At 35.0% G+C, this 27367-nt stretch overlaps 1 protein-coding gene, 1 long non-coding RNA gene and 1 pseudogene across 12 annotated transcripts in view; 1 reads left to right on the top strand and 2 right to left on the bottom strand.

Moving 5' to 3' along the window:
• Positions 1–27367, top strand: part of HDAC2-AS2 (HDAC2 and HS3ST5 antisense RNA 2) — a 371029-nt gene that overhangs the window by 245479 nt on the left and 98183 nt on the right. The window contains exon 9 of the long non-coding RNA NR_125845.1: positions 20451–20592. This is a non-coding gene — a long non-coding RNA (HDAC2 and HS3ST5 antisense RNA 2). The remainder of the gene's footprint in view (positions 1–20450; positions 20593–27367) is intronic.
• The window catches only part of HS3ST5 (heparan sulfate-glucosamine 3-sulfotransferase 5), a 287428-nt gene that overhangs the window by 159584 nt on the left and 100477 nt on the right, over positions 1–27367 (bottom strand). For 10 of the 11 annotated variants that reach the window (NM_001387046.1, NM_001387041.1, NM_153612.4 and 7 more), the window contains exon 2: positions 13406–13599. The exons of the other annotated variant lie outside the window; for it this stretch is intronic. The gene's annotated coding sequence lies outside the window, so the exon portion shown is untranslated. The remainder of the gene's footprint in view (positions 1–13405; positions 13600–27367) is intronic. 11 annotated transcript variants of the gene reach the window in all.
• RNA5SP213 (RNA, 5S ribosomal pseudogene 213) lies at positions 5502–5607 on the bottom strand (annotated as a pseudogene).

Consider the following 27367-nt stretch of genomic DNA (forward strand, 5'->3'; position numbering starts at 1 on the left):
CCTGTAGTCTCAGCTTCTCGGGAGGCTGAGGCAGGAGAATGGCATGAATCCGGGAGGCGGAGCTTCCAGTGAGCCGAGGTCACGCCACTGCACTCCAGCCTGGGTGACAGAGCGAGACTCTGTCTCAAAAACAAACAAACAAACAAGAAACAACAGCAACAAAAAACTCAGGACAGAGAAATCGAGTCTTCTTGCATGGGACCCCGAACCCTGGCTGGTTCCATTTCTGGTTCTCCCTACAAGTGATTGATGAGTGTGTCATGATGCCTTAAACCAGGGTGTCAACACTCACCTACCCTTTTATATCCCCCTGCTGCCTGGATTTCCCCATGGATATGACCCTTCTGCCCTTATTGAGTCCCACCCCTCCCCCAGGAAGCCAGGAGAATCCTCAGCTGACAGTTCCATGCCTTTTGCCTTTTGTATGTTGTCATACCCACTGGTTGTCCTCCTGGCCATCAAGGCTTCCTCTCCTTTCCCACAGGCCCCTGCTGCTATATGCCAGCAGACTCGGTGGTATATTCAGAATAGAGTCTATTGCCCCTATGCCACAGCTGTGTTTAGTTATTTCACATTGTTATTAATCTCAAATCACTATGATATCTGCATAAGCCTATACCTCCTCATTACTGTTGTACAGACTGCATCTGTACTTTTCACCTCCTGTTGAATTTGTTAGCTGTGACCGCTGATGAGTCCACTCATCTTCTGGGGCCACAGAAGCTTTGTTTCATTTTGGTGGGATCTAATTACTGACATCTAAAGGAGCGGACTCTTTAATTTCAGTTCCATACTGCATCATATTCTGATCTTTCACAAAGATTCAGAAATACCATCTGACAGGATCAAGGACAATTGAACTGGTATCTATTGGGTTTTAACTGCGGCTCTGCTGCATAATTTTTCATTTTCTTTGGAAGACCTTACCACAAAGAGGAAACATGCCTAGTAGGGTCCCAGAGAGGTGTTTTGACATTAGGTTTAATAAAGCATGAAGAACTCATTAATAAATAATGTTCTGCTAGGTTAACAAATAAAGCTGAATGCACTGGCTAGACCCTGGAGTAAATCAAATCATTCAGGCAGCCCTGTGACTTGTTAACTTGCAGCAGTCTCTTCTCAGCAATCTGGCAAAGCCCATTGCAACAATGCACAAATAAAACCAGCATATCATAAATGCATGCAACTTCAGTTATGATACAGGCTGTTAATTTTTTTATACTCTGTGGTCCCAAAATAGTAAACAAAGCTTCATTGCTGGCAATCAGGAGGCATTCTAGTGATACTTTTAATCTTTGCTAAAAGAACAATTCCACTCATCAACATGTTTACACTACAGTAGACATACATATAGACACACATATCCTCTCATTGCATATTCATTGCTTTACTATCTACAGGAAGTTGAAAAAAGTGAACTAGAGAATGAGCTAATGTGTGAAGGCATGCTAGTTTATTCCATCAAAATGGTTTCTGATGAACTTCTTATTCTGACTCAGAAAACCTTCAGGAAAAAAACCCAGAGATAGAGAACAGAATCGTCCTCCTTAAAAAAAAAAAAAAAAAAAAAAGGAAAAGAAAACTGAAAGTGCAGGACACCTAAAGAATACCTTCCTTGATGGAAGGTTGCATGGTTTTAGTTGGGGAAGGACTTCATGGCTGCCCACAGTAGGTTAAAGCTCTCTCAGGGTAGGCAAGGATGGGAGGAAAGTTTGGGTTATTTCAGGCAGTTGCATTTCTCTGATGATGCTGCAGTGCTGAAGCCAGCTGCTTTTTCATAAAGCTCTTCTCATGATTATGAGCTGACGGACAGCTGTCCAGTGTCAGTTGAACATGACTCACTTGCTCCAGCTGCTCAACAATTTGGATGAACCGAATCTCCTGCTTCATACTATTCTAACTGGCCACATTCTCCATTTACTAACGGATTTAGCTAGAAAGCCAACCACCATGTAGTAAGATAAAAACATTTCCAGGCAATGTTTTGATGAAACAACTTGTTGGGTGAGTTCAATTTCAACTCAAAGGTCTTGCCAACCATGCCCATATGGCCAAATTTACACATCTTGCCAGATCTTTTATGTGGTTATGATGACAAAGTCATTAGGTTGCCATTTAAATCCTTTTCCAAAGCTGCAGGTTTAAAGCAACCACTATCCTGAGAATAAAAGTATTCTATTAAACAATCTCACTTGAATATTTTCACAACTCAATATATGCATATGCATATGTATATACTATTCATATATAGTTATATAATTATATAAAGTTGTATATTAACAGTTTCTTCATTTTCAAGTCAATGAAAACAATGAAAATGAAGCAGCAATCGGAGTTCAAAGTGTTCATGGCAAGATTTCCGTTTTGGAACAACAAGAGAGACCATTTGGAATAGCACAAATGAGAACAGTCTATATCTACTGAGCCTTACAATGTAGTTTACAATGTAAAGTACATCTCTTTTAATTCCAATAGTCCTAAGATGTTGGCAATGTTATCATCTGCATTTTACAGATGAGGAAATTGAGACTTAGCAAACTGAAGGTGTCCAAGGTCACGCAGCTAGTAAGTAGCAGAAGTGGGGACTTGAATTTAGGCCATCCAATTCCAGAGCTCACATTCATAATCACTATTCTATACTGCCTTGTATGTTATCAGAAAACTCAGCCACAGATGGCTCTACCACTAACCTGGAAAAAGTAGGACTCACTTCCCTCACTCTCCTTGCATTAAAATGAGTTTAGTGTTAGCCTAAATATTTAAGTTACCATCTTGTATGATTCTAACAAACACTAAACTACATACGTATTTCTTCTTTTCTTTTCTTCTTTTTTTTGAGACAGAGTGTCGCTCTGTCACCCAGGCTGGAGGGCAGTGGCATGATCTCGGCTCACCGCAACCTCCGCCTCCCAGGTTCAAGTGATTTTCCTGCCTCAGCCTCCTGAGTAGCTGGGATTACAGGTGCCTGCTACCATGCCCAGTTAAGTTTTGTATTTTTAGAAGAGACAGCGTTTCGTCATGTCGGCCAGGCTGGTCTCAAACCCCTGACCTCAGATGATCTGTCCACCTTGGCCTCCCAAAGTGCTGGGATTACAGGAGTGAGCCGCCGTGCCCGGTCTACATACAAATTTAAATATATTGTTTCCTGTAAGTGATGACTCTCAGTGCTAAGGTGCAAAACAAAATGGAAAAGAATGTTTTCATTTTGTTACCTGAACAACTAAGCAGTTCCGGTTTCAATGACAAAGGTCTTTGATATTTACACAAACATATATTGGTATGAATAATTCTCTTCAGAAACTAAACAACACTCAAAACCTCAATGTTAAAAATTTTGCTTCTTTTGGAAAACTGAAAAACTTAGTTGAAAGGTTACTAAGCTCATCAGTAGGTGCGAGGTTTCGAAGGAATGATGTGGTTTTATGATGAGCTGGGAGTGAACTGGTATTTAAACAGCTGGTATTTAAACAGCATAGCCTAAAGAAATGAAAAATGCCATTCCCTGAGTAGGCCTAGAATCAGAGTTGTATTACTTGGTCCCTGTTCAGAATCAAACACGTAACTTTTTTATGTCCAAAGTCTAAATCATTAGGAAATATACTCTTGCTGTTAAATCATGAATAAAACTTTTTAAATCTATTTTTTTTTGCTTAAACTTCTGCACACACTGAATTTATTTAGATATGAAATATAGAAGGATAATTTATAACGGTCATGTCAATCCATACAGAAATTTCTATTTATTATTAACTCTTGTGTAATGTGACTTCTTGTGCCTCTGTACTTTACTTCCCAAATTAGATTGAAACTGGATTTGGCATTTCTTTGTTACCCGTAAAGTGGTTAAGCAGAATGTTTTAAAAACAGTTCTACTTTCCCACAGCAATTTAGTATGCAATCTAAACCATAGAGAAAAATGTGTAAATGCAAATCCTCATTCACAATAAATGTGGTGCCCCAAGGCACTATTGCTACCTCATAAGTATTTGGATATTATATTACACTATATTGTCTGTCAAGCTGTACTTCCAATCACATTATTTTTATTCTTACCAATTTACATAATGTGTGAAAAAACAACGAAAGGCAAAGGTAGGTTCGATTTTACTCAGCCCAAGAGGCAAAATACAACACTCTTGGACCATATAGGTTTACGTAGAGGGGACGTGTGGCCCACTAATCCCCTTGTTGATCAGAGGACAATTCAACTATGAAGTGATTAAAAATGAAAAATAAAGTTCCTTTGGGAAAAGCATATGCAAAAAAAATGTTGCCTTCTAAATCACATACATATTCATGGGGGAAGGGGTAGAGGGAAAGGAGAGGGATAAACATTTCCAAGGACATCACTAAGGGCTTCAGACAAAATGAATTCAGGCCATCAAAAATAAGCGTAAATTAGTTATTTTCACAGTTTTTCTTTCATTGGTAAGGTGAAATATATTAGCTTTGTATTTTTTAAGCATTTTTTGTTATTATTGAAAATAATAAACAATTAGTCTAAAATGCCTAATGCGAGAATGCTAATAATTGGGCATCACATTAATAAGAATCAGATGTAGTTTTAAACTGTGATTTTCAATGAGCTTTACTTATCAATAGAAGACTTTAATTGAATGGTACCATGTGTACTGGAACAGGTAGAAGATCCAGTTTTTAGCTTCTTAATTTTATATGATTCAAAAATGTACAACAATCAAAGTAAAAGCTGGTTGAATTATTTATTTTTCTATTTCATTCACTACCAGAAAAACCATGAAAACCTTGAAAAGTTCATAAAGTACTTATTAAGTCTTCAGGACTTTAGTTGTTTACAGCTTCTTCCATAATCATTCTTTATCAAACCATTTAGAGCCCTGTCTCTAAAGTTATACATATTTTTAAATTTTCTTACAATTTAAATTATATTGGTTTAATAAATGGTATGCCTGGAAATACATACGAAAATTCTATTCTGTGCAATGAGAAAGCCTCATTTTGCCATTATATAAAGCCATGGTTTTATCTTTCATTTCAAGGAAATTTAGAATCCATTTATAAGCACCAAATGCATAATTTTTTATGATGTATTATAATGCTTAAACTCAGAACTGTCTTTGAAAATAACTGATGTTGCTTTAATTATTTAATTTTTTGCATATGAAACTCCCTAGGCTTAGCAGACAGTCTTTTATACTTTTCTTTGTGTTTTGAATATATTAACTTTCTGCTCTATTAAATCTACTGAAATTTTCCAGTGAGTTATGTAATTTTCCCATATGAGGTTTCAAAGAGTTTTCAAATGACTCTGTATCACTTCCTAAGGACTCGGAGGAACCCAGGGCACAGACGTTACTTAAGTTATTTTCCAAGCTCAGCACTTTACTACTTAGTATTTTCTTCTTTCATAATTCATTGAAAAATAATACAGTTGTATTTTATTTGTGCCATATATTGATAAATATATGGTAAGTCATTTCATGGCTTCATAAATAATTTCATTTATTTTTCAAAGAAAAAAAAATCTCCAGAGATCATTCTTCTGTCCAAATACTAAACAGCTCCGACCCTGCTTAGCTTCTGAGATCTGATGAGATTGGACACGTTCAGGGTGGTGTGGCTGTAGATAAGATCATTCTCATTTTTTTAAAAGTCTAATTCCAGTTGTGCTGAAGAGGTTTTTAAACAACTGAGGCTATTTCAGGGAGCTTAGGCACACTCAATAATTAGATAACTTTAAGAAATGCAAAGATATGGTCAATTCTCCTTAATTTTAAGGGAAACATTATTTTGATAATAGGCAATGAAAAATCTCAAGTAGAGTCAATTACAAAAAAACATACTAGGTTGGGATTTAAAAGAATAGGTTTCCTTTCCAACTCAGTTCTATTATTAACTGGCACAGGGACTTGCACACACCATCTAACCTGGACAAATTACTTTCCCTCTCTGGAACTCAGTTTTCACACACCTGTCAAACAAAGGCAGTTGGACTAGAAATTCTGAAATTACTTCCAGCTCAATCAGTCTGTGATGCTACAGGACTGGTAGGTAAGAATTTACATGGTAATTAACATAAAAATAAGTCTAAAAGTGGCATCATTTTACTATAATTACCTACATTTTTAATAAAATTACCTATAAAAATTACTATAGGTGATTAAAAAATACATATAGTACATAAAAATATGTATTCGAATTTAAAGTTCAGTCCTCATTTTTCTGATAATCAAGTAACAATTTTATCTAATGGTTCCATAATGACATACCTTCAAAATCAAGGTAAATTCTAAAAGTTAACATACTCTTACCTGACATTTGAATCTTTTTGAACTAATTAGGCTTTGCTTAACATCACTGACCAGGATTACAGTTATAGTGATACTATAATAGTTTAAAATTATTCCATGGGTTCTAAATTTACTAAATTTTACTGAAAAGTACTTATAAAATGGATAATTTTAAAAAGATACATAAAATATTTAAAAATATATATTCAAATGTAAAGTTCAGTCCTCATTTTTCTGATAATCAAGTAAGAATTTTATCTAATGGTTCCATAATGACATACCTTTAAAATCCGGGTAGATTCTAAAAGTTAACATACTCTTAGCTGATGTTTGCATCTTTTTAAACTAATTAGGCTTTGCTTAACATCACTGACAAGAATTACAGTTATAGTGATACTATAATAATTTAAAATTACTCCATGGGTTGTAAACTATCGGGAAAAAGAAAATAAATTTAAATTTAATATTCTTCATTGTTTGACCCTTTTGGAAATCCCACAGTATTGCTTGGGGAGAGCTTGTAAGTATCTCAAGTATGAATATCAAATGTAGAGAAGCTGATTATTAAACAAAGAAAATTTGCGCAACACTCATTTAATAAAGACTCCACTCTCCAAATCTAATTCACATATTCTGATTTTAAGACAACAAGAATGAACATTGAAAAACATCAGCCAGAAGAACTGGAACAAAGTATAGGATCCGATCTCACGTCTCATATCTTGTCATATTGTTTCTTATCCATTTTATGTTTTATTTAGGTTTTCTTTCTTTTATACCTTATTGTAGTCCATAATGCCACATAATTCATTTACTTGTTATAATTGTTTTTTATTGCCTGCCATGCCTCAACAAGGCCATGAAAATAGAGCTTGTCGTCTGCTTCATTCAATGATGTATCTCAAGTCTTAGAACAGCCTACCACAAAGTAGTTATTAACCAAATGCTTGTTGAATGAATGAAGAAATGAAGAATGCATTGAATTACAATGTATATAGGAATGGGTCTTGATTCTCAGCTGAAATCACTGTACAATGCACAACTCTCCTGCATCAGAACACTCACATCAAGCCACTATCATTTATAAAGTTCATATTGAGCTTGGCTGGAAACTTACTTTTTCTATTATTAAAATCAGTCATTAAATTTGGCTATGTTGATGACGCATGATAGAAATGTGGTTGCTATGGCACAGTGTATATATACCCTGCTCGTGAAGGAAGAGCAAGGAATGGAAGAACAAAGTGAGTTACCTGAGCAAGGAATGAAGATAGAATGGTTTGTGGCTGTAAAATGTTAGCTAAGACACTCATCTTATCAAATATGATTTTAGCTAACCTGAGGAAACTACCATCTAGAATTTACTCATTTGAAGGATAAGTCCAATGTCTTAGTGACCTACTCTGTAGTAATGTGTGGTTTAGATAGTTTAAGTTGCATTTATACAGAAAAGATTATTCTTGTATCAGCAGACAAAAGATGTATTTGAGCAATCTTTACTTTCCTAAACAAGGAAATTTTGGGCCACGTGGTTGAGATCTAGTAGAAGGAAAGAAATTAAACTAGAGAAACTTCATTTAAATTAGAAAGAATGTGCAAGGTAGGAAAAATGTTACTGTGAAATATAATAGTTCGATTTAATTTTTTTTTTGCTGAGGTATATATAATAAAGGCCAAGTGTTAAATTTTCATTTTTGAATATTTTTTTCATTTTAATAGGAGTATCCCATGCCAACATATATGACATTTCTTCATAATTTTAGGTTAGAAAATATAAGCTTCTTTTCTCATAAGTTTTCATGCTCTACAAAATTTGCCATCATAAACCACTTTGCATTTATCACAAATGGGTATTACATTAGAAAGGCAATTCAACTGTATTCCATTTCACTAGTGAAGCTAAGCGGCTTTGCATGATAACTAAGTTGGGTTAATGGGACTATGTTTGAAGAATGTGTTACCTGGAACTGAAATTCCCTATTTGTTTTTAACTGAGCTTAGGAGTCTGCAAAATGAAGGCAGGAAACCTGCTGCGAGAAGGATAGGAAAATTATTATCATCTGCATTCCTAAATTGAAGAAGAATTTCTGCTCAGCAGAAACCTCTTGACTGCAGAAACTCTGGAATTATATCCTGCTGTTTAGAATAGCTGTTTAGGGTAGGGGGAGTCCAAACATTCCATTTTTCTTCAAATCAAAAAAGTTTTATGCATACGTTTACAGCCTTATTGGAAGCTTGCTTGCTTTCTTTTCAAAAAGAGAAGCTACGTGGAACCTCTTTTTGTTGATAATGAAAAAAATTTAGTGACTGGTTAAGTACCTAATTTTTGGTTAATGAGTAGTTTTAATTATCTTTGATATAGAAATATTTTGTCTTGAAAATAAATTTCAATATAAATATTTGGCTTCATAATACAGGAGCTGAATTTTTAAACTTAGTCTACCACCTAAAAAATGGGTTATTTCTATTTCTTGGGATGTTTTCAGAAGTTTATTTGCTGAACAAACTTCTATGGTAGCTCTTAAAGCTATTACTTATTCAAGATCATATACCTTCATTATGTATTATACCCATCAGCATTTATTATAGAGTCCCTCTTTTGTGTTAGTAAATGCTTTTGGGCCCTGAAATTTTATGTTTTCTGATACTAAGATTTTTAATTCCTAATTTCTTTAGATAGCATTTTCCCAGTACACCTTTGCCTATCCTTTCATTTTCAAAGTTTTGAATTAGCTTCTATTGGTTGTATACTTGTATAACTTAGAATTGGGTTTTATGCTACGATACAATTTGAAAATATTTTAAAGAAATAAGTGTATTTTTTATATTTATTGATGTGAAAGATATGACAGAAACATACTGTCACAAAGGATTTGAGAAAATCTTTCATGATATGGTCTATTTTGGGTAACTTCAAAATATAAATTTTCTTCTAATTCATAATGTTTATAGGCTCACATAATAAATTATATCATTTCTATAATCTCATAACCTTGATAATTTATCTCTTTAGAATGTTTACTATTTTCCTATTATGTGTGAGAGGAAAAGTTCTCTCTCTGTTTCCATTTTTTACCAGCTATTTCTGGGCAATAACAATAGCTCCTTTATATCTTTTTTTGTACTCTTAAATCTGCTTATACTTCTATAGTTTGATTGTGAGTTTGAAAAATATTCATTGATTCCTTGATATTGAGAATAAAGTAATCAAATAACTTATTTTATACATATATATATACATATATATATATACACACACACACACACACACACCGACTTCTTTCTGTTGTGTCTTTCCTAATTTTTGTTAGTTGTTTTAGTTTTACATTGTCAGGACATTATACTTTTATGTTCTATTACATCACCCTAATCTCTATATTTATCTTAGATTTAGTGCTAGAGTTAAATATTCAATGCTTGCAATCAGTTTTTTTGCAGTAATTTCTATAGTCACTTATTGGCTGGATAGATAATAGTTGCTTCAAGAAGGGCTCTAATAGTTGCTAATGGTTGTTTCAAGATGGACTCTTGATAACAATATTTCCTAAGTTCCAGTATGTTCAGAAAATTTGCCTCTAGCCTTTACACCTTGAAGGGCAGTTGGGCAGGTCATAAAACCTTTGGTACCATAAGGGATGGTGAATTCATTATCTACCATGGCATCCTATTCATTGTTGGGTATCTCAACTGTTACTAGTTTTGTAAGTTTTTTCAAATTTTGCCAAAATTCATCTCCTTGAAACTTCCAATAGCATGACTTATAGTCTCTTCTACATAAAACCCTTCAAATATTTCTCTACTCTAGGATAAAAGTAACAAGGCATTGAAGGAAAGTTTGTAAGGCCAAAATATCCCCATGTACCTTCTAGTAGTAGACTTGCTGTTTTGTTTGTTCAGTCAGCTCAAGTCATTGCATCTTCCCTACCATCCTTTTATAGTGCTCTTTTAAAGCAAGTTAGACTTATCATTTTAGGGCCAGTAAGACCCTCTGGGATCATCTGGTGTAAAAGTCTTATTTTAGGATGAAGAAACAGGTTCAGGCAAAGGTGAAAATATTTTCTTAGGGTCATGCCGCTACTAGGAAGCTGAGTCAGACTTTGAACCCTAGTGACTCCCAGGCAAGGATTCTTTCCACTTCACTAAATCCTTCAAAAATACAATGATCAAAACTGTTGCACTGCACTTTAAAAACTCAGTGTGTGTCCTGTCACATAAAAGAATGTATCTAAAGCCTGTTTGATAATTGTCATTGTGTTCCATATTCTAGCTATAGAATAACACATGCAGGATAGCTGTATCAGGGAACTTTCAGTGGGTTTGCTGTTCATCTACATAAACTGTCACTTTTATTTTCTGCTTCTTGAAAATGAGAAACTTCAGACAAATGCACATTTAGTTTTCCTACCCCAAACTCTGTAAACCATCATCTTGAAGTAAAATTACACAGCTTATGCTTACAACATAAGGGCCAGGTTTTATCTTCAAATATACCACCCACTCTCGAACAGCAGAATTTGGCCCTAAAAACCCATTAACAAATATTGTCATTAAACTAAAGAGCTAATTACTTTGGATTCAGACAGAATGAACAAAATCGTAGGCCAACCGCAGCTGGTTGTAATAATGGTGAAACTAAACGTATGTTACACCAGAGAATTAAGACATATTAACACTAATGGAACCAAACATATAACATTATCCTCCAAATGGAACTATTATAGTTAGAGAATTCTTGAAAGTACATTGTCTTATTTGATACAAGAAATAAAGAATCTTTCCAAGGAATTAATTGTCATAATTTGAAATTATCAGTGTTTAATGAAGAAGAAAACATGGAGAATTTCATACCACTACAATATTCCACAAATGAAGAATTATACCTAAAAATTATTTCGATCTAATTGGACACAAATTATTTTAAATTCAATTTTAAGTACTTAGGTATCTATAAATCTTCAATGTTCATCTTGGAGGAAAAATTTCCCCTTAGTTTTCTTATTGAAGAAATCATTATTGAAAAACACCCACTTAACTTCCCCTTGTTGATGTCATCCCTAACCAGATTGTTGTTTACTACTCATTGTGTTAGACTTTTATATGAGAAACTTTTATATGAAGAGACTTTTATATGAAGAGAAAATGTGATTATACATGAGGGGACAGACTAGAAGATCAAAATGGTCCATTTCTGCTCTAAAACTTTATGTTTCTATGATTCTATAAAGTTTCTGTAATTTATTCTTCTGTTGCATGTTTTGCTTCCTGCGTATTGAGACTGTCTTGCTCAGGTTCCCTGAAACTACATTGTAAGTTTTCTTTAAGAAACTGCAACTTAAAAACATAGTCTGATAAATACACCAATGATAATGAACATGATTCACTTCAAGACACAATTCATTCTTTCTCTACCTGTTCCTTTTTCCAGAAAAAATAAGTAATAAGAAAAAAAGAAAGAAAGAGAGAGATGAGTAAAGGTATGCTTCTCTGAAATTGAAATATTGCAGATGATTTACACTAAAAGCTTTATGAAATTTTATTTGGAGATTTTATCCAATGATAAACTTGTGAACTACAAATTTTAGGCTATGTTCAGGTATGACAATCTTACTAGTGAGCACAATTCTAATAACAAGTGCATGTGAAACTTCATTATTATAGTTAATCCAATACTGCAAATTTTTAATTTTGATTACTTGAAAAAAGTACTCTATTATTTTATGCAAATGACTATATTCAATTCTCTACATGTAAAACTAATAGCTAATATGTGCTAATTGGCACTATTAAGATATACTTCTTTTTGATGAAAGGTTTATTGTTGCCTTTTGATACGTTATGGATAAAAAATTCTACATAATGTGAACAAGTGTACACAAAGACTAATAGAGACAAAAAATGTCTATAAGCCTGAAATCCAATAAAAGGATTTTGATTAAAAACTTCAGCCTTCACTATAAAAATAATATCTTATTGAACCTTTAACATCACAATTTAAGATCTGAATATGCCCCTACTAAACACTTTCACTGAAATAAAAAAAACCTTTTGTAAACTTAAAATTACAAATTATAAAAATGAAGTTGCTAAATGACATATAGGAAACAGAAATACAATAAAGTGATATTCACCAAATGTACATGTAAACTTCCGTAAATGTATCACATGATTTATAAGTTCTTATTTGCTAAGAAAAAAAGTAATGGAAAGAGGTATTAAGCAGATTTGTTCTTTTAAAATCTAAGTCTGAGCTTTCAAAATGAAGAGAAAAAGACACAATCCTCAAAATTTAGAAATACTTCACCAAACCTAGTAACAACTCATTATTTTCATCTTTTAGAAATTTCTTATAATTAGATACAATAACCCTAAATATCTAAATAATTGAAACATTACACGAAACAGAGCAATAGCTACAGAGAACAATGACAGGGCTATCACTCTGAAAGAGAGATAGTGACACCTGGGAATTAGCCCATCATACTGAACTTTAAAAAGGAATAACTCAAATTAGGGGAGTCAAAAAGGGAGCATCAATTTAGCACTTCTGTAACAAAATTACCCCTTCCTTATTTATTCTTATGACTATAGGAAACAACCAACATAAAAGCTCAGGTTTAGCATAAGGTTTGAAAATGGGAACTAGATTGTATTGAATGTCACTTTCAGTGTTTCTCAAAGGCCTCAGACTCACAGGCATCAGGATAACTTGTGAGTGGGTAAATGTAAAAATACACATTCTTACGACACATCCCATTCCTAGTGGATCTACGTTTCTGTGAAATATCCCCAGGGATTAGCATTTTAAGGATCCCTCCTCCCAATTTCATGTGACTCCTATGCACATTAAACTTTGAGAACCACAGTATGTTAATGCTTTGTAATGTGATACTGATTATCAAATATCAAGGTTTCTACTCTGCCCTTCTTGTATTTACATTTACATGACAGATAACAATTTTTAAACATTATGTTTTATTTATTTCCCCTTTTTGCTGTGGAACTACACATACATGGATAGTTTTCTTACATTTAATAGTTTCTTTTCCTTTCTTATATTTTATTAAAATATATAATTACTTTTGATGCCATTAAGAGTTATGCAAATATGTGTGGTGGTACCCCCTAAATTTGCTTACCTTCAAATCCTTGTGCTCATTCAGCAATTTTTGAACATATATGGTGGAAACTTTCAAAGGAATATATGTAGTGGATTCTCTCCTTAATTTCCAAGGGTTTTAAAACAGGTCAGGGAGACTCCTGGGGTGGCCACCAGAAATGCCGTTGAGAATAGAAGACACCAATGCTGAAGACAGTGAGTATCTGATTATCTCTAAACAGAACAGAAAAAGAAGTGGTCGGTCACCTGTAATTCATAGAGAATCTGCTATGGAGAAAGTTATTTTCAGTGTTACTAAATTTAAACTTGGCCAGGGTTTGCTGCTCCCTGATTTAGCAGAGTTGTCATTTAAAATTTCATGTCATTGTGAAGTCAGAATTACATGATGCTGCCTGCAGGGCATTCTGGTTGAATTCCTATTGCTTTAATTGACTATTTTTTTCTACACATTGCATCAGGTGATATCATTACTAATTTTATTTTTGATATGCAGGTGCTACATTTTGCAGCTGAATTTCTAAGTCAGGTTGATGAGGTCTCTTGGAAATATTTCTTTACATGAGGCTCTATCACCCCCGTAAAAGATAAAATGGGATACTTTAAATCCCCATGGAATCATCTGGTAATTTTGCTATATTTCCTTTCACATGGGTAGTACTTGCCAAGATAATTAGGTATAAACAAGAAAATATTCTTTTTAGTCAAAATGTGTTGCCTATTCGGGAAAACCAAAATTCTAGAATCTTTGTTGGATGAGTTAAGCAGAAGTTGGTAGTGGCTGATAGAAAAAGAGAAGAAAACATCTATTTTTAAAATTGGTAATCAACCATGCAAGTACTCTCCTAAAGAACAGAGGAAATGAAATGTACAGATAAATACATGGTCAAAACTAAGATGACAAGAGCATACACACATGCAAACCCAGAGTACACTGCATAACAATAGTTCTCAGAGAAGGTTCTATTGCTTGGCCAACCACCGCGCCCAGCTCTCTTCTTTCTTGCTACACCTCTCACAAATAGAGAACAGAAAATCAAGTGTTCACTTTCTGATTCTTCCTTACTGCTAAGAGTGGTCATGTGACCCCACTTTGGCTCCCCATTTGGGCTCATAAGCTATAAGAAGTATGCTGGGTAAGAAATCCTGCCAGAATATTGCTTTATTGATAAACAGATTCCTGCTTCTCTTCTCTCTTTCACACATTTGCTTGCCTTGAATGACGACATGATGCTTTCGGGATAGAGCAGCTGTCTTGTCCCCATGATGTAAAAGACAATGGAAGTCCAGAGAAACACAAAGATATAGGGCCTGTGAAGGATGAGCAACTTAACAAATAGCACTAATGGCTTTCCCTGAAATTCTACCTGTGTAAACCATTCAGTTGTCGTTTCTTGCTGATAGAGGCATTTCTGGTTGACAAAATGTACAAAAAATGTGTTAAAAAGTAAGTGCCACTGAAACGGTTGCAATGATAGCTACTGTTTAACTCCAATAAGGAGAAGGTTTCATGATGCAGAGTCAAAAACAGCCTTCATTCTGACAGAGGTTGGAACTTGCCTTTTTTTTTTTTTTTTTTTTTTTTGACTCCTAGGAGATTTGGGCATGTGGAGAATAATGGGACAGGAGATGACGGTAATGAATTAAAACAGAATGGAATGGAATGGAAAGCCTAGCGCAGGGCTTGGTTTGGAAGGAGACGGTCCAGTATTATAGCAGGAAAAAGGAAGACTCTCATCTTTGCCTCGGTGACAAAGCTATGTATGACATTACTCAAAATCTCAGTAAGAGACTTAAGTTTCACCTCAAAGTTCATTATTCTTATCTCACAAAGTCTTGTGGATTCTTTTTTACTGAACTATTTTTCACATTTAGCACTTCACTACTATCTTCCCTTCATAAATATTTCTTCCTTAACTACAGTTCAGGCTTTCACCATCTTTTTCCTAAAGTATTGGCAGAGACTCTTTAATAGATTTCTCTATTTCTTTTTTCTTAGATGCTATAGTATGTTCTGTAATTGCCTTAAGACTCTTTTTTTTTTTTTTTGAGACAGAGTCCCACCCCAGGCTGGAGTGCAATGGCATGATCTCGGCTCACTGCAACCCCCCATCTTCTGGGTTCAAGTGTTCTCCTGCCTCATCCTCCCAAGTAGCTGGGATTACAGGCATACACCACCACACCCTGCTATTTTTTTTTGTATTTTTAATAGAGACAGGGTTTCACCATGTTGGCCAGGCTGGTTTCAAACTCCTGACCTCATGATCCGCCCGCCTCAGCCTCCCAAAGTGCTGGGATTACAGGCTCGAGCCACCGCGCCCGGCCCCTAAGACGTACTTCTTAAAGCACTGATCTCATTGGATCCCTATTCTTTTCAAAACAAAGAGCTCTCTTTGTCTATTGAATTAAGTTTGATGTAGTTTGTATATTTGTTCCTGCCCAAATCCTATGGTGAACTGTAATCCCCAATGTTGGAGGTGGGGCCTGGTGGGAGGTGACTGGATCATGGGGGTGGGTTTCTCATAAATGGTTTTAGCACCATCCCCTTGGTACTGTTCTTGTGATAGTTCTCATGAGGTATGGTCATTTAAAAGTGTGTGGCATCTTTTATGGGTTCATAACTAAACCCATAAAAACCTTCCTCTTAAACACAGCCTTCTTCCAGTGCTCTCATTTTGTAAATAGCACTATCAGTCATCAGCTGAATAAGCCAAAAACCAAGATCTTCGAGCTTTGAAAAAGGTTGCTCCTGCTTTCACCATGTGATGTGCCTGCTCCCCTTTGCCTTCTGCCATGACTGTAAGCTTCCTGAGGCCTCCCTAGAAGCCCAGCAGATGCCAGCACCATGCTTATGGAAAAGCCTGAAGAACTATGAACCAGTTAAGCCTCTCTTCTTTATAAGTTACCCAGTCTCAGGCATTTCTTTATAGCAATGCAAGAATGGTCTAATACAAAGTCCAAGGTCCTTAACCTGGCATTTAATTCTCCCCATAATATGAAAGCTTCCAGATTTCCTATCCCTTTCTGAACGCTCTAGGTGGTTTGCTGGGTGGATTTATCCCCACTCCAAAGTTGCACTCTAATTTTCTTAAGATAATCAGTGTATCTCAACCTCTTCCTGCAATGATAGGAATGAGCACATAACCTTATTAGGTCAATTGGTCTCCACTCTGAGGCTTTGGTTGCCCTATTCTATTTAAAAAAAAAAAAAAAAAAGCTCTGTTTTTCTTACTGGACATAAGCATGTAAAATGCAGCCTCTGGAACTACTGGCAGCCATCTTGGGATCATGAGAGGAAAACCTGCATGAAATTAGGTGAACAACAAGGAAACAGAGCTGAGAAACAGAAAAAGAAGAACTGGGTTCTGTTATTGTTTCACTCCTGGAGAGAGATTTGCTTGCAGTAGGAATACCCTAAACATTTCAGTTATATGTGAATCTAGGGATTCCTTTTTTGATTAAGCCACTTTGGCTTAGTATTTACATTACTTTCAATTAAAAATATCTTTTCTATTTATTTCTATTTTTATCGTGTGCCTACCAATTTCATTCATTTTACTCATCTCTCGTATTATCCATATTCTATAGTTTTTCATGATTCAGCTCACCTCCCCCATTAAACCTTTCCAGATTCTTCTAATTCATAATGAGAGAATCCTAAATCGAAACCACTTTATTATCCACTGTATATACTAATAAGAAAGCTCATGAAGGTCTATGACCAATCATTTGGTGATGATTCTCAAATTTTATCTTTAGCTTAACACTTTTTCCCTTATTTCCATATTTATTTATTTATTGCAGTTTTAGCAGAGATGAGGTTTCTCTATGTTGCCCAGGCTGGTCTCAAACTCCTGGACAAAAGCAATCCACCCACCTCAGCCTCTCACAGTGCCAGGATTACAGACATAAGCCACCATGCTTGACCCATATTTTATTTCTAATTGAATAGTTGACATGTGAACTTCAACGTTTTGAAGACTCTCCAAACTGAATGTGTTTATAACTAAATCCATAAAAACCTTCCTCTTAAATCAGCCTTCATCCAGTGTTCTCTTTTTGTAAACAGCCCCATCAGTCATCAGTTGAATGAGCCAAAATCCCAAGTCTTCAACCCTTTAAAAAGGAATCAGAGCAGATTTGTTCCTTCTTTTCTTCTTTAGGTTCATTATCTAATCATCAGATCCTTTTGATTTTACTTCCTAAATAATTTTCAAACCTACTTCACTACTTTTCTCTGTGTATCCTCCTCTTCTTTTTCTCCTCCTCTACCACCATCATAACCTTGTCTGTTTCCCTCCAGTATATTTTCCACATGGCATCTATCTAGAGTGATCTTTTAAAAAAACACAATTAATTGTGCCAATCCCTTGTGTAAAAACTTTTAATACCTTTCCACAGTTCTCAGGCTAAAGAAAGATAACACTTTACTGTGACCTCATATCATCTGATCCCTGTCTAACTCTCTAGCCTCATCTCCCTAGATGACAGACACTCTTTTTTTTTTTTTTCATTTTTAGATACCCAACATTCAGCAGAGTCTTTAATACATAGTAGGCACTCAACAAATATTTGTTGAATGAATGAACAATTACTTTGCAGTAACTCTTAAATCATGAAGCACCTTGTGTTAAAAATGTTTCCTTTATATATTATTGTCTGAATTACTTATAAGTATATTGAAGATAAGGATATGTCTTACATTACTTCATACCCTATAATAGAATGCCATGCAAATAGTATGGGTTCAGAAGGTATTTGATTTTATCAATACTAATAATTCAACTCTGAATATTTTTCAAAAGCTTGAAGTTGATTCTCTCTCTCTCACAATGGCTAGTTTACCACTTTTCTATAAGATTAGAAATGACCCAGAAGAAATATATTATTACTCTGCCAAAAAAAGGTAGTAAAAAATAGAACATTTGTGTCTGATCAGAATTCTACAGAATTTACACAGATTAACTATAAAGAAGCTGCTTTTCTACATGACAAGAAAAACCCTCAGCTAAACCTTGAGTTCTGTGGACAAACACTCAAGCATGTTTGCTATTTTCATGGTCATATTTTCAAATATTTTATATTTCTCTTTAGACATCATTTATCCTTGAAAAATAGAAAAAAATACATTTAATAACTAAGAGCTGAAGTCTTTTGAGTTAGAGACTGATTATTTTGGAAAACAGTTACCCCAAGTTCAAATTAATTCCTAGTTAGTGGACATTTACCTGAAAAGAACAAAAGGATCTTCAGAGATTCAAAAGTAGGTATGAAATTCTAGCCTATTTTATATACTAATATCATTCCAAATAAGAGAAATATTTCCCAGAGTAGCCTAAATTGAAAACATGCATAGGGAACATAAAAGCAATGAAAACAGTTGGGCTGGGAATGTATTTTGTTAAACAGGAAGACACAGGGATACCTGCTTCTCCAGGGCTTCTAACAGTGTTAGCTGTAGCCAGATAATGTTTTCCAAGTTGGAGAACGGTAGGCAGAATTGGGATTGAAGAGATACAAAAGGAAGAGAGGCAGGAAATGTAAGGGTAGACGATGCAAATTTTGTGCCTGAATAAAATTCCTGAGTAGGCTTAATCTTCGGGCTCTAAAAAACAACTTGAAGCTTGCCTAAGGCATAGTTATACAAGAAGTAATTGCCTTTGGGTTTCTATATACCTGTTATTCAGTTATAAATACTTTCTAGTTTTCACAGGGTATTAAATCTGTTAGGATATTAGTAAAATTAATATATATAATATATATATATATGAAAAAGAAAAGAAAAAGAGCCCTCTTGCATGAAATGCATTTTGAGAATGACTACACATAGTTCTCTTAAAAATCTGAGAGTGAGCTATTTTACACTTTTCCCCTAGAGTACTAAAAGATATTTTAGGAAACTAGTGAATCATGATTTAATATTCAATTGCTTTTCAAGCAAAATAAGAAATTCCACCAAAGTGTCAGTCATGATTTCATTTTTCCTGAAACATAAACTCCAACGGGTAGGTTGAAGCTGCACTGTTTATTTTGCTCTTCTGTATATAAATAAAAAATAAGATTAACGGAATGATGGAAGAATAACTTCTTATGCTGTGCCTTTTCTGACATGCTTCTTTTCTGTACTTGGGGGAAAAAGCAAATTTTCATGTGTAGGATATTTTATTTGCTAAACTTTTTTTGTTTTATTTAATAATTTCTGGATCTTTTGACAAAATTGTGTTTATTCCATGCATGAAAATTGATATATGTTCTAAAATTATAGCACAAACCTTTTATATTTCTTTTAAAATTCTTTTTCTGGGGCCAGGTGGGGTGGCTAAACTGAGGTGGGCAGATCACCTGAGGTCAGGAATTCAAGACTAGCCTGGTCAACATGGTGAAACCCTGTCTCTACTAAAAATATAAAAATTAGCCGGGTGTGGTGGCACGCACCTGTAGTCCCAGCTACTCCAGAGGCTGAGGCAGGAGAATCGCTTGAACCTGGGAGACGGAGGTTGCAGTGAGCTGAGACTGTGCCACTGCACTCCAGCCTGGGCGACAGAGCAAAGCTCTGTCTCAACAAAACAAAACAAACAACAAAAGCCCCCAAAAGAAACAAAAATTCTTCTAAGAGTATGAGATTGCTCATTTATATATACTTTACACAGGTATTCCTCCAATACTGCATAAAATGGTAAAAAGCTTTTTAAATTAATCTCTAGTTCAAAGATTTAGAATACGCTATGATAGCTCCTATTAATACAAAGTAAAATTATTCCTCATAATTTAAAAAATTTCCCAAGGAAACAAAAGAAATAATATTGTATGATAAGAACTAAACAAGTAAAAAAAAAAAATACACGTACATTGTAACCCCTAGATGATCAGCTTTCTGTGATTTTCTCAACAAATGAGTGACAGAAGAGTCTGAGAACTCCCAATACTCCATTAAAGAGATCTAAAAAGAATGTCATTACAAGGATACAGAACTAGAATATGATTAGAGAAGCTAAAATTGTTAATACAGGAAGGGGAGGGCTAGATGAGAGTAGCACTTAAAATTTTGGATTTTTTTTCTTCTTAAGAGGATGCACCTCCAACAAAACAATTCTTACATGGAATCCTAGAGTCTTTGGAACGTGGTTTGAACACCACCAGCTTTGAGAAGGAAGAGAAAATCCAGAAGTCAGAAGTGGACCATGTTGATCAGGATCCTACACCTTCCAGGTAATGGCAGAAGTCACTTATTCAGATGATTCCACAAATTTCCCTTTGTCTGGATGGTGTATCCCTTGCAATCATCCATGTTTACTGATCAGTTCACAGGACAGAAAAGGTGGTCCAGGTAGGGGACACAAAGAATATCAATGTTTTGGCAACAGTAGTGGTCAGGAGTGGTCCCCATTCATGAATCAACCTTGCAGTTCAGAAACTTCAGCTCCTAATGAGTCTGACCAGAATGAGAGTGCCTCCTTGAGCCAGACTCTCAGGTTGGTAATTCAGACATCTGTACCCTAAACTGTGGTACCTTCCACAAGGGCAGATTTATTATGGGGTTCATTATAGAGAGCCACCTGGTCTACTTTGTTCAACACCCTGATCTTCCTCACTCTGTGGTCCTACTATGGGCATTTTTTTCAGGTCTTCTAAAAAAGTGCTCATTAAGACATCTGCCATTTATGAATTTCTCTATGTTTTGTACTATAGTGATAATTAGTACAAATCATATGCAACTCACATAAGATAACATCAACTTATACATAGGTACACTCAGGTCAACTATCCAATTAGGTAAATATATCGTTATTGAATAATTGTAATAGGCTGAAAAATTGAGTGAATGGATATAGCTTTACTCATAATTCACAGAATATCCTCATACTTATATGTTTTTTCTCATTTAAATGTTTCTTCTTTACTCCCAACTCCTTTAAAGTACACTTGTTTATTTTGTTTTTGATTAATAACAGGTGAATTTTTCTGTGCTGTTTTTGGTGGGGAGGAGTCTGTTGCAGGTACATTTCTCTGCTGATAATAGAATGTTTGGCTTATAGTGGATGCTTAAAGCATGATGATGATCACTATACACAATATTTTGTGTGTGCGCAAAAGAGAAAAATACTTCTAGTCTTTATCTACTATCGTTTTCATTTATTTCTGGTACCAGCATGACAGAAGATTTGCATTACTTCTGAGCATAGGCATGATGCATTTAGATACACTTTTCCATCTCTCCACAAGATAAAACCTATGCCATGTAACAATCGGTACTGCAATTGTATACTCTATTGAAATATTTTAGACTTTGATAGGCTCAATAGATATAAACATACAGAAAAGATAGATGTCAAAGAACTGGAAAATGTTGAACTATCTACATCTTCAGTACTGCCGACGCCGGGCCCATGTTATCAGTTCCACTTTCTCAGAATGTTACACTGAAAGTGAGCTACCCATACTTTTTATGATGACTTTAAAAATGAGTCTACATATGCTAAAATGATTTGCGACATCTTCTTGACTTACATAAAATGAAAGTTAAAAATATGTTTTGAAACTCTTTACAACAATCAAAGACTAATGTATTTTTGATGAAAGGCAAGGAGGTAAACAATACTGGGAAATGTAGAACATCCATGTGTTAATTTATGCTATTGTACAGCATCATTTCTCTAGTTGACAAAAATATCCATTTCACAGAAAAGTTAAGAAACAGAATTCTTCTGTTAATGTTAATACCAAGGGAAAGTTCAAATAAGTCAAAAATAAAACAAGATACGAGTACTTTTTTTTTTTTTAATGAAAATAGCTCTTAACTGGGGCTAGGTGATGTGGCTTCTAATCTAGGCTCTACTATGGCCTGAGATAAGTTATTTCTTCCTCCTCAATTTTTATTTTGTCTATTCATATAAAAAGCGGTTGGATTAAACCAGAGGTTTTTAAAGTTTGGCTGCACTTTAGACTATACCTGGGTGTAAAGAAATACCAATGCCCAGTCCCCATCCTCACAGATTCTGGTTCCACTGGTCTGGGGTGGAGAAACTGAGCCTCCGAAGTTCCCCATGTGATTTTAATATGGAACCTGAGCTGAGAGTCACTGAATACATGTCCTCCAAGCACCTTCAGTGCCTAAGAGTGTATGATTCTGGAATTTCTGGGAAAAGTTCCTTAACAGACACACACAGAAACAGGCAAAGTTTGTTCATTAATCTGGATTCTCATTTAGAATCTAATAGTAGTTTTCTACGTAAGTCAGGTCTATATTTTTAATGAAAACCACGATACCTTTTGTGCAAATTAGATAAAGTATTAATAAAGAAGATTGGTAGAGGAAAGAGAAGCAGAGAAATAAAATATAAGCACTGTCAGAATATACACTTTCTAAAAGCAATTTTGTATCTTCTCATCAATATTTAATTACAATGTTATTAGGTGCTTATTTACACATAGCAATTTAGAATCCTAAGCTTTTAAAAATTCATCTACTTTAAACATACAAAATACAAAAAGATAATCATGATAGTGGGAACACAAAGTTCACTGCTACAGAAATGTTGAGACTTAGTCTGCTTAAAGGAGACAAAGATTTATTTTACTGAAGACGCTGCTTGATGATTATTTATTAGATGACTAAAACTCTCCCATGAGTAAATGTAGACCTATGTCTATCGAATTATTGGAAAAGAGCTTTCCTAGGAAACAGTTGGTGGCTCTTGCTTTTCTACAGAAAGGTCCAGAAATTGCTCAATAGTGTCTCTATGGACCACACAAACTCAGCCCAGCAGAACTTCTGGTGGTTTGGCCAAAGGAAAGAGCATCAGTGTAGAAGATTGGCTGTGGCATAGTTTGCTTACTTGGCTAGAGGATCACTTTACCAGTATGTGATAAGTTAAAAAGAAGAATAGGAAAAAAATATTTTTTGTGTGTCTTTAAAAAGATTTTTTTTTGTTATAGTTTCAGGATGTACACGTACAGATTTGCTACATGGATATATTGCATAATGGTAGGGTGTGGGCTTCTAGTATACCCATCACCTGAATAGTAAACATTGTACCCAATATGTAATAGAAGAAAGAAGGTTTAAGAAAGTGTAAAGGAATCATTGGGAGAGGGCTGGTCTAATACTTTGCATTTTCTGACTAAATATCCTGAGATGTCACCAACTACTCATTTTGCGAGATGGATAATAGACAAGGTTGAATATTATAGACCTGTACCCTGAAGAAAAGAGAGAGGACCAAGTTTGTTCCCCACAGCCCCCGCCACCATATTAATAGGTTATTCTACATAATGTTGTTTTTCAACTCCATGCTCTGCCAGTGCTCCTCTGTACCACTGTTTGGCTGAATAATATATAAAATCTAGGTTTGTTGTCAGTTTCAAATTAGTAATTATCCCTTGTGCATTTCTGTTTCTAAATATTTTTTACTTTCTCCACTGTTAGGCTTGAGAGCTCTCCAAAGACAGATCATACTTTTCTAAGCACTCCGTATATTGGACATAAAGAAATGCTGAAGGTAATCAGAGATTAAATTAAGATTATTTTTAAAACTCACAGGCAAGCTTTCAACTATAAACTTCAAATTTGTGAGCTTTTACACTTTCTTGAGTGACTTCAATTTGCAAAGTTGTTTAATCTCATTATACACATAAAAATATCCTCCTTGATTTGGATTCTGTTATCATTAATTTTCAGTTAGCAAAAGGCATAGAAACAGGCCTGCTCATGTACCAGGGTACCTAGTGGAGAGGATGATTTTTCAGCAGCTCGAATCAAACATGCGTTTTGCTTGCCATCCATCACCCTGATATGAGCTGCATCCACCAGGAGGGAGAGATACATTTTAACAATTTGCATAAAAGCGCCAAATGGGGCTAAAAGTGGCCCTGCCCCTAATCTTGAAATTGTGATGGGGTTTCCTTGGGGAGGGAAAGATGTATGAGGTAAACAATAAGCATACAAGGGTTAGACCTCTGTCTCCTCTCTTTTGCACTTTTCTGTTCAGCCACAGTTAGGAGACAGGAGTTGCGTTTGAAACTAGGAGATGAGAACTACAGACCTGTTTTGCCATCTATACTTAACTCTAGCCTCGTTTTCTGCAGTTGGATGCAGTTGGCCTCCATCTGGTCTATGAGACACTGCAGCAGGCACAGGTGAAATCCCCACAGACAGGATGCTGAGAGCTGTATCTGAAAGACTGCCTAACTCTGAGATCCCCCTTTCTGTTTGGAGGGGCTTAATATCCAGAAATAGGTGAACCATATTCTCTGGGTCAGCATCAATTAAAATTTGTTTAATTAGGAACATTCATGCATTTGTTCATCCAACAAAAACGTATAGCATAACTTCCTTGTTCTAAGCCATGGGGGATATAAAGATTCTTAGATACTTTGCCAGCACAAAGCTCATCACTGAATTCAGCTTAAATTGTTTTACATCAATTCTTGAGCTTCAGCACACACATACACACACACACACACACACACACACCGCTTACTCTCTATTACACTGGCAATCTTTTTAGTCTTTACTAAATGACTTTAACTACTATTTAACGAAGGCTCTCCCTTTTCACAGGACCATTCTCTGTCTCTGAGTTAATGATGATGTCTCTGTTGCCAAACTTCCCATTCTATAACTTTAATCAAAGTCCCCTGCACGCTTCCTGACCTGGGGCAAAGGGTGGTGGTAGTAGTGGTGGTAGTTTTCAGCCTTCATCATGGCCTCCCTATTACAGCTGCTTTTCATTCATAAAGCACCAATTCATAAAGCACTGGTTTGGCATTAGCTGTACTACTGCTTGACTCTTTTCAATTTGTTTTTAATCCCATCTAAAAATATCTCAATGAAATGAAATGACCCAAAACATCTCAATGTTAAAATCCAGAATGTCAGATGTAGTATGTGAAAGGAGAGGAGAGGAGCTATCTGGTATTTATCCACTGGTGGAAAAAAAATATTATTTGGAAAAGTTAACTCGAAGGGGTCCTTTGTTGCTAAACACGAAGCTGGTGTTGCTGTTCTGATGTAAATCCTTCATGAAAAACTGCAGTAGATGCACAAATATATTTTTGTAATTTAAAGTGTAAAAAAGCTCGCCATGTAATCTGGACTCTCTTCTCTATGTAATTAAAGTCATTTTCTAAAGTGTCTAGTATGAAAACACAGAGCCGTAACTGTAGTTTTCAGCAATATCTTGTGAAAACAGCATCTCGGAGCTTAAAATTCAGTATGCTGCTTTTTGTACCATATCACCCCAAAACTATTTAAACTGTTTGCTATTTAGATGTGAGTACTGATCACACCAGAAATAAAAGTCAAAGGGGCTCTGGGTTCGCTGACAGTGTTATTCCAAGTGCCATCCCTGGGACCTGCCATTTTGCCCAAGGAACAATGAAGCATGAGGACACCGAGCAAGGTAGTTTTGATATCAATGGGTTACACAACGAAAGCAATGACTCACTAATGAAAAGGCATGTAATAAACTGAACAGGATTAAAAAATGAAATCACAAGGTGATTCATACCTTTTAAAAGAAAGCTCTTTCAGTTCTTTAAGCTATGTTTATATATTTAAAGAAAAATCAGTTTTTTTTTTTTTTTTTTTTTTACTATAATACAAAGAAATACCTTATCTCCCTATTCTTGCCAGGACGCTTTCAAATTCAATAGACAATAATTGCTTTAGTAAAATTACCCTCTTTGATAAAACTTGCTTGGATAGTTTAGCATGGAAAAGTCAAAACTTTCTCTTGGGCAGTTCCAAGTTTAATCAGGTTAAGAACAGATTAATACGGTTAATGTTTCCTTTTTTTCTCACACCTTTTCCATTCTCTGCTTCTGTTAGTCCTTGTATTACTTCTGAAGCAATGTTCTCCCTTTTATCTACATTCATTATGTATTTTCTCTATTACCACTCACGTTTTTTATAAAGGAGATAAACACAGAGAAAAACAACTTTTCCATTCAACTTTTTTATCATAAAATGTTGGGCTCTTATCAGGCAAAGTCATAATGAGGAAATTTATCCACTTGGTAATAAGATCTCAGGTAATATCCCTTTGCTATATTGGTTTTGCAACAAACTGCATCTTCGTTTCCAGACTTAGGAGCATAGTGATGACTTTTTATAAGAGATTTTGAAAAGGTATGTTGAAATGTCTCCAACTAAACCCGGCTAGGAGATTGGAAAATTTGATGAGTTTTGTGGTGGGGGTGTATAATAGAGAACTGTTAGAATAAGGAGAAGTGATGCTGTACAGTGGCATGACAAGATCTAAGAGATGTAAACACAAAAATCTTCCCAAAGATCTTCATTAAGATGTGAACTTCTCAGAAAGATATATAATGACTATGCAATTTAAATTAATTCTCCTTCTGTCATTCTCCATAGTACCATCCTGTTTGGTTCCATCATAACATCAGCAACAATTGTTTACAGCTTTGGGTCATTTTTTTCTGTCTTTATGTCTAGACTGTACTATCCATAGGGCAAGTGTCGGGTATCTTCAGCACCAAATTCAATTCGTAGTCTATAATTTCACTAATACAATAGTTACTAGCTGTTTTTGGTTCAGCACTTGAAATGTGACTAGTCCAAACTGAGAGGTGTTGGATCTGATTGAATTTTTAGGACAGTAGGGAAAAATAATGTAAAGTCTGATTAATGACTTTTATATTGATTACATATTGAAATAATAATATTTTGGATTTATTTAATTAAGCATATTATTAAATTTAATTTTATCAGTTTCTTTTTACCTTTTCTAAATGTGGCTATTAGAAATATTAAAATTTCATGTGACTCATGATGTATTTCCATTAAACAGCACTTGTGTAAAAAATTATTATTATATGTTAAATGAATAATGAGTAAATGAATGGATGGTACCTGCATCTAGAGCTGACACTACCTAAATGTATACTATATAACTTTTAGAGGAGGATACTCAAGAAAAATAAGTCAATGCTGGTAGATTTTATTGATGTCTTCAATTCTTTA

This window comes from Homo sapiens, chromosome 6 (assembly GCF_000001405.40).
Source record: "Homo sapiens chromosome 6, GRCh38.p14 Primary Assembly".
Taxonomy (NCBI): Eukaryota; Metazoa; Chordata; class Mammalia; order Primates; family Hominidae; genus Homo; species Homo sapiens.